The sequence below is a fragment of the Homo sapiens genome, chromosome 8, assembly GCF_000001405.40.
Source record: "Homo sapiens chromosome 8, GRCh38.p14 Primary Assembly".
Taxonomy (NCBI): domain Eukaryota; kingdom Metazoa; phylum Chordata; class Mammalia; order Primates; family Hominidae; genus Homo; species Homo sapiens.
Window position 1 is genome coordinate 23,886,042 of NC_000008.11, and position 6,911 is coordinate 23,892,952.

At 39.6% G+C, this 6,911-nt stretch overlaps 1 annotated feature.

Annotated features, from left to right (window-relative positions):
• Positions 4,033-5,232: an enhancer, noted in NCBI's record as "CDK7 strongly-dependent group 2 enhancer chr8:23747587-23748786 (GRCh37/hg19 assembly coordinates)". NCBI's record gives its function as "activates an origin of replication core promoter dependent on BRD2, BRD4, P300/CBP, MED14 and CDK7 cofactors, with strong dependence on CDK7, by STARR-seq in HCT116 cells {active_cell/tissue: HCT116}" and the evidence as "EXISTENCE:reporter gene assay evidence [ECO:0000049][PMID:35650434]".

The window sequence follows — 6,911 nt, forward strand, 5'->3', positions numbered from 1 at the left end:
GCTTGGGGAACACAACATAGAAAAGGATACTGGGGATTTCAGGATGGTGTCATTATCCACTCTAGAAGCTCTTTTGCAACACTCTGAGATTACTGTGGGAGGCGTTTCCTTAGTGCCCATTGCTGGTATGTGTTGACTTGCCTTAGTAATACCAACTCTGCTACCTTCTATTTACACAATATCGGATAAAGTATTTAACCCCCCGAGTCTCATTTATAAATAGGGATTATAATACATAGCTCAGAAATTAGTTGTAAGGATTAAATAGGGATCATGTATGTAAAAATGATATTGCTCTTTGCAAATGGAACAGATTAGTACGCTATTTTGTGTGTTTTTTTTTCTAGTAACTAGTGCCATGCCTGGCATCTGCTGGGCATATTTTTTTGAATGTTACATATTGCACAAATATGCATATGCAGTGTACAACTTGTGACCATGGTTGGAATCCCTGCAAGCCTGTTTCAGGGTTAAATCAGGAAAAGAGTTTAGAAGCAGAATACCTGAGAAAGCTTTCCTTCACCTAGTGAGTATAATATATTCCATACTTTCTGATAATCAGACTGAACCCAGCTCACCTCCTTTTTCACTTTTGTCCATTAGTGTACACCTTATTTTTTTCTAGAATCCTCGATGGCAATTCTTTCAGGGCTTCTACCTGATGACTGTATAAACTAGAATGAACCAGGGCCAAGGAAGTCTTCTTGGGGCGCAGTTGTCCAGCAACTGTTTTCATCAGCCTTGGGAGATGGGCCATGTTGGGGGTCTTACCACATAGGAGATTCCCATGACCTGAGTCTATGCATGCTCTTATAATTACTTTCTTATCCAGAAGTTGCTCCACTACTCCCGATCCCATATTACTCATTTTTAAATGTTCCTCTGATTTTTGAGAAATCATCCTTTCCAGAGCTACAGGGGGAGGAAGGGGTTGAGTTTAGGGATGAAGAACTAGTATTCAGGGATAACAAGGGGAGGGAGATAAGGTCAGAGCCCATCCTTCTGCATGAGCCCTTGGGCACCACAGAAAGGATCCTGCAATGAAACCAGCCACATCATCTTGGGCATGTGCCATTCTGCCCCACCCTCCTGCTGGTCAGTGGCCTCTCACATCCAGTCTCTTCTAAATATGCCTCAGGTAATGGTAACTAGCAGAACCACACACTGTAGCTAGCTAGTCACATTGAGAATATTCCTTTTGGAAAAAGGGGCTCTGGAAAATAGGAAATGCAGAGTGGCAGATGTTAGAGTATTAGAGTATGTCAGATTTTGGGTGCTCTCTTTCCCTAGCTGAACAGTGGGTAGATTTGGTTGGTGCCCTGGCATGATGGGTGATTTTATGTGTCAATTTGACTGGACCATAGAGTGCCCAGATATTTGGTCAGACATTATTCTGGGTATATCTGTGAGGGTGTTTTTGAATGAGATTGACATTTAAATTGGAGGACTCTGAGTAAAAGATATTGCCCTTCCCGATATGGGTGGGCCACATCCAATCAATCAGTTGATGGCCTGAATAGAATAAAAAGGCTGTATTCCTCTCTGCCTGACTGCTTTTGAACTTGGGCACTGGCTTTTTTCCTGTCCTTAGACTTGAACTGAAAGACCAGCTCTTCCTGGGTATTGAGCCTGTTGGCCTTCAGACTAGAACCACACCGTCAGCTCTCTGGGATCCTGGGCATTGAGACTCAGAATAGAACTAAACCATTGGCTCTCCCAAGTCTCCAGTTTGCTGACTGTAGATCTTGAAACTTTCCAGGCTCCACAGTTTTGTAAGCAAATTCTTAACAATAAATCTCTCTCTCTCCCCACCCCACCTCTGTATGTGTGTGTATGTGTGTGTGTGTACATATACACATACATATAATATATACATATATATGTGTGTATGTATATATATGTGTGTATGTATATATGTGTGTGTGTTATGTGTATATACACATACATATACACATACATATGTGTATATATGTATGTATGTATGTATATATGTGTGTATTATGTGTATGTGTATATATGTATGTGTATATGTGTATATATGTATATGTGTGTATATATACATGTGTATATGTGTGTATGTACACACACACATGTACATACATATGTGTATATATGTATATATGTATGTATATATGTGTGAATATATATACACATATATGTGTATATAGGTACACATAACACACATATATATACATACACACATATGTATATATGTATGTGTATATATACATATATGTGTATATATGTATACATTTATATATTATATATGTGTATATATGTATACATTTATATATTATATATGTGTATATATGTATACATTTATATATTATATATGTGTATATATGTATACATTTATATATTATGTGTGTAGATATGTATATATTATATGTATGTGTATATACACATATATGCGTATATGTGTATATACGTATACACACATATATGCGTATATGTGTATATACGTATACACACATATATGCGTATATGTGTATATACGTATACACACATATATGCGTATATGTGTATATACGTATACATACATATATGCGTATATGTGTATATACGTATACATACATATATGCGTATATGTGTATATACGTATACATACATATATGCGTATATGTGTATATACGTATACATACATACATGTGTATATGTGTATATACGTATACATACATACATGTGTATATGTGTATATACGTATACATACATACATGTGTATATGTGTATATACGTATACATACATATATGTGTATATGTGTATATACGTATACATACATATATGTGTATATGTGTATATACGTATGCATACATATATGTGTATATGTGTATATACGTATGCATACATATATGTGTATATGTGTATATACGTATGCATACATATATGTGTATATGTGTATATACGTATACATACATATATGTGTATATGTGTATATATGTATATATATGCATATATATGTGTGTATATATGTGTATGTGTGTATACATATGTGTGTGTGTATATATATGTCTCCTGTTGCTTCTGTTTCTCTGGAGAACCTGAGAACCTTCACTAATACACCTAGTCTCTCTGCATAACACTGGACTCTACCTAAGCTCTGGTGATGAATCAGCGTGATTGATAAACATATAAAGCTCACAGAGAGGTTATTCAACCAGCTCATGTGGCCCTGTTTGGTGCCTGGTTACTGATTGCTGTTTTGTTTCCTGTTTGGCAGGATCCGAATTTCTAGTACTGATCTGGGGCCAGATCCTGCTATGTCCACCTTTCCTAGAGGGAATTTTTCTAGACTATTAGGGAATCCAGGGTCTCTGACAAAAGGGGTAGAGAGGATCTCTGCCTAATGGACCTGGAAGGTGGCATATTATAAGGATAAAATTGATAGAATATTGGGGATTGAAGGGGGCCAGTACAATTTAGTAGCATAACAGGAAGCATAATACAAAATTGATTTTCTGAAGTGCAGTTTTTGCTCTGGTTACGTGTCTTGGTGTGTGTTCCTTAAACAACAATGAAATGTTGTTTTTGGTATTTTTGAGTGTGAGAGGTTAAGAAATTCTTCCCAACTGTGAATGGGATGGGAGTATGTGGGGACTCATGTGAACTCTGAGTGCCATTTTATTGAATCATGAGTGCCATTTTATTGAATCATGAGGGCAAATGTCTAGAACGAGCTTAGGGCCGAATGTGAGTCAGTGAAATAACTCATAATTCTATTTCTACTTTTAACTCAGGAGGTGACCTTGGGCAAGTCATTTAATTGCTCTTGGCCTCCTATGTCCTCTTGCTTCTTGAAAAGTGGTCTTCAAGCCAGCAGTCATAGCATCACTTAGATGCTAGTTAGAAATTTAGACGTTCACACCCTGCCCCAGAACTGCTGAATCAGAATCTTCATTTTAACAAGATCACCACGTGATCAATTTTGACAAGCACTATTATGGAGGAAAAAGAGCACAATGTTTTGGGATTATTTAGAAATGACCGTTTTCTTGATCTGTACACTCCTATATGACTTTGGATGTGTCAGTGAAACTCTCTGAGCCTCAACTTCCCTATTTGAAAACAAGGGTGAAAATAGCTGCCTTACAACCTGATGGACTTTTCATGAGGATGAAATTAAAATCTCATATGCATGTATTGAGTGACTTGCATGTGCCTGGTCCCATCTAAACACTACAGGGTACAGAGATGACTCAGACATAGTACTTATGCCCAGGAATTCGGCCTCTAGTAGAATGGGAAAATATGTGTGACAGCACTTTGTAAATGCAAAGGGCTACCTAAATGTTAGCTATTCTAAGTATTAATGGGGATGATAATACTTGCCCTACTTATTCTGAATGGCTATCATTAAGCTCAAGTGAGATAAAGCATGTCAAAGTCATCCGAAAAGTTGAAAAGTACTGACGTAAGAACTTATTATTAGTAGTATTATCGCCATCACTGAGTGAATGATCATTAATTTTAGTAGGCAAAAACCTAGATTTAATTATATTTACTCAGGCAGCAGAGGATGCTGGAGTTTAAATACCAAACTTAGAACTCTCAAGTTGAACACACAAGGAGACTCTCACTTACTTTTGGTTCTGCAGGGGAACTACATCGACAATTAAGAGTCTGTTAATACTTCTGCTATTTCAGAATATCTGATCCTAGAAGCAGGGATTTCTTCAGAGTTTACTGGCGACCCACTGAAATGCATCCATCTGTGAGGTGGAATGTTCTATCTGATGGGCAGCCTGACAATAGCACTACCCTGACGATTAGGATGTGGTCAGGTGGAAAAAACACAGTTGGCTTATGCTTTGCGAGGTCCTCTATCTGGGTGTCTGTTCAGGGGCAGTCTTGCTCTGTGCATGACTGTCCACAGAGCCCATGGCATTGTGCTGAAACCCTGGAAACTCAGGGCAGGCAAAGGAACTGGGAAATCAATCTAGTCTAATTCTCAAATTTGCAGACACTGTGGCCCAGATCATCAAAATGTTGTCTGTGGCTGGCTCCGGATCACACTTGAAGATGATAGAAAAGTTGGGACTTGACAACTTAGTTCTCCTGGCTCCCAGTACAGTGCCTTCTCCTTATAGCTTCATGCATTGAGGATGCTTTTGTGCTTTGAGTCATGTACCTGCAAGGAGACAGTGCACGCTGCAGTTTTGATCTGGTCGTGTCTACCCTTTGCTTTGTTCTTGACAGTGTAGATGCAGTCTGGGATCTTCTTCCTCACTTCCTCACGGTTGCTCTTCTCTCCTGACACTGCCTGTGATGTGGTCAGTGCAAATTTTAATGAGGCAGCAGCAAAAGGGCAAGATTAACATTTCCCTCCCTGACAGTCCTCATGCATGTTGTTTATTCTTTTATTACATGTTTATCTTAGTCTTCCTTGACTTTGAGTTAACATATATGTGTTTACTTTTCCCTCTAGATTATAAGGCTCTGGAGCTCTGGAGGCGGCAGCTCCATGGTTGAAATCCAGCTTTGTCACTGCATAGATCATTCTGTGATCTTGGGCAAGTCACATTGTCATTTTGAACTTTTTTTTTTTAGCCTGTAAATTGAGATACGATCATTCCTACTCTATAGATGGTGAAAACTAAAGAATACATGTGATGCCACTGATGCATTGTAGTTACTGTCTCTGCTGCTCTCAGATGTGGGCCTGAAGGGACAAAATCTGATTAACCATAGCCACCTTCCTCACCTTTCCATGCTATATGGGGATCCAAATGCACTCTCAGGACAAAAATGTCCTGAGCCTCTCAAGTGAACTTCCAGACATTTTCCTAAGAAAGGAGCTTTAAATCACTCATGAGGTCTCTTATTCTAACTACTGGTCTTTTCCAGGAAGGTTGGGTCACAGACCGTTAACTACCATTTATTTCAGCCTTTGGTTATTGTTTTTTAGCTCTGATGTCTGGCATTCTCTTACTTCTAAGCTCATTCCCATTTTGTTTTGAAGGATGGTGATGATTCTTTCAGGATACAAATATTACCTGCTTCCCTATGCATGAGTTAACGTGTACTGAATTGAGAACAGGTAGATGCTACCATGCCTCTGGGCCTTGGCTCCTTATTTGTGGCACATTTACTGTCTTAACTTCTTCCTGTTCTGAAGCTCACAGCCGGAAGTGACCTCTTCCTCCTTTGATTCTGTGACCTCAAGGGCAGGCCAGCCTTGGACTGCTCCAGGCCCCGTGAAGCACTTTATATCCAGAAGAAACAATACAGAGTTGCTTGATTCCTGCTTCTTGAACTTGATGCTCCTCTTTTAATTAAAAGGAGATGTTTCCCTCTCACAGAATGTATTGGAATTCCTCCGAGAGAGTGTCTCAGCTCCTTGCCTAGAAAAATGTCTTGTTAGTCTATTAGGTGTAGAAATTGAGCCTCTAGGGCTTGGTGCCGAGGTTTCTGAAGGAGAAAGCTTCTTCACATAAGAGAGAAAAGAATATTTGGAGCTGGGGAATTGGGGTATTCAGGAGAAAGGTGGCGAGGATCTGGGAGAGAAGGACAGAGCAGACAGGGGTGAACATGATGGCAGAATGCCACGCTCTTGATGTTATGACCTCTACCCTGATCCTCAAGTAATCTGAGAAGATGGGTGTGATGGGCTCTGCTGTGGATGTGGAAGAAAGGCTGATTCTGCCTTGTGAGTGGGTAGAAGGCAGATCTGGAGACTGGACATCTCTGTGATTTTACAGGAACTTGAAGGAGGAGCATGGATGGGAAACAAACTTTGAACTTCCCCAGACCTTGGAAATGGAGGTCTGATGTAATGTGTGGGGGGCGCAGCAATTCAAGGAAGTTAAGTCAAGAATGCAAGGAGCAGAAGGCCCCCAGCTGACCTCTGGGTTATACTCACATTGAGCCTGGCACAAAGTCAGGCATTTAAAATGATATCCTGCCAGGTTTTTTT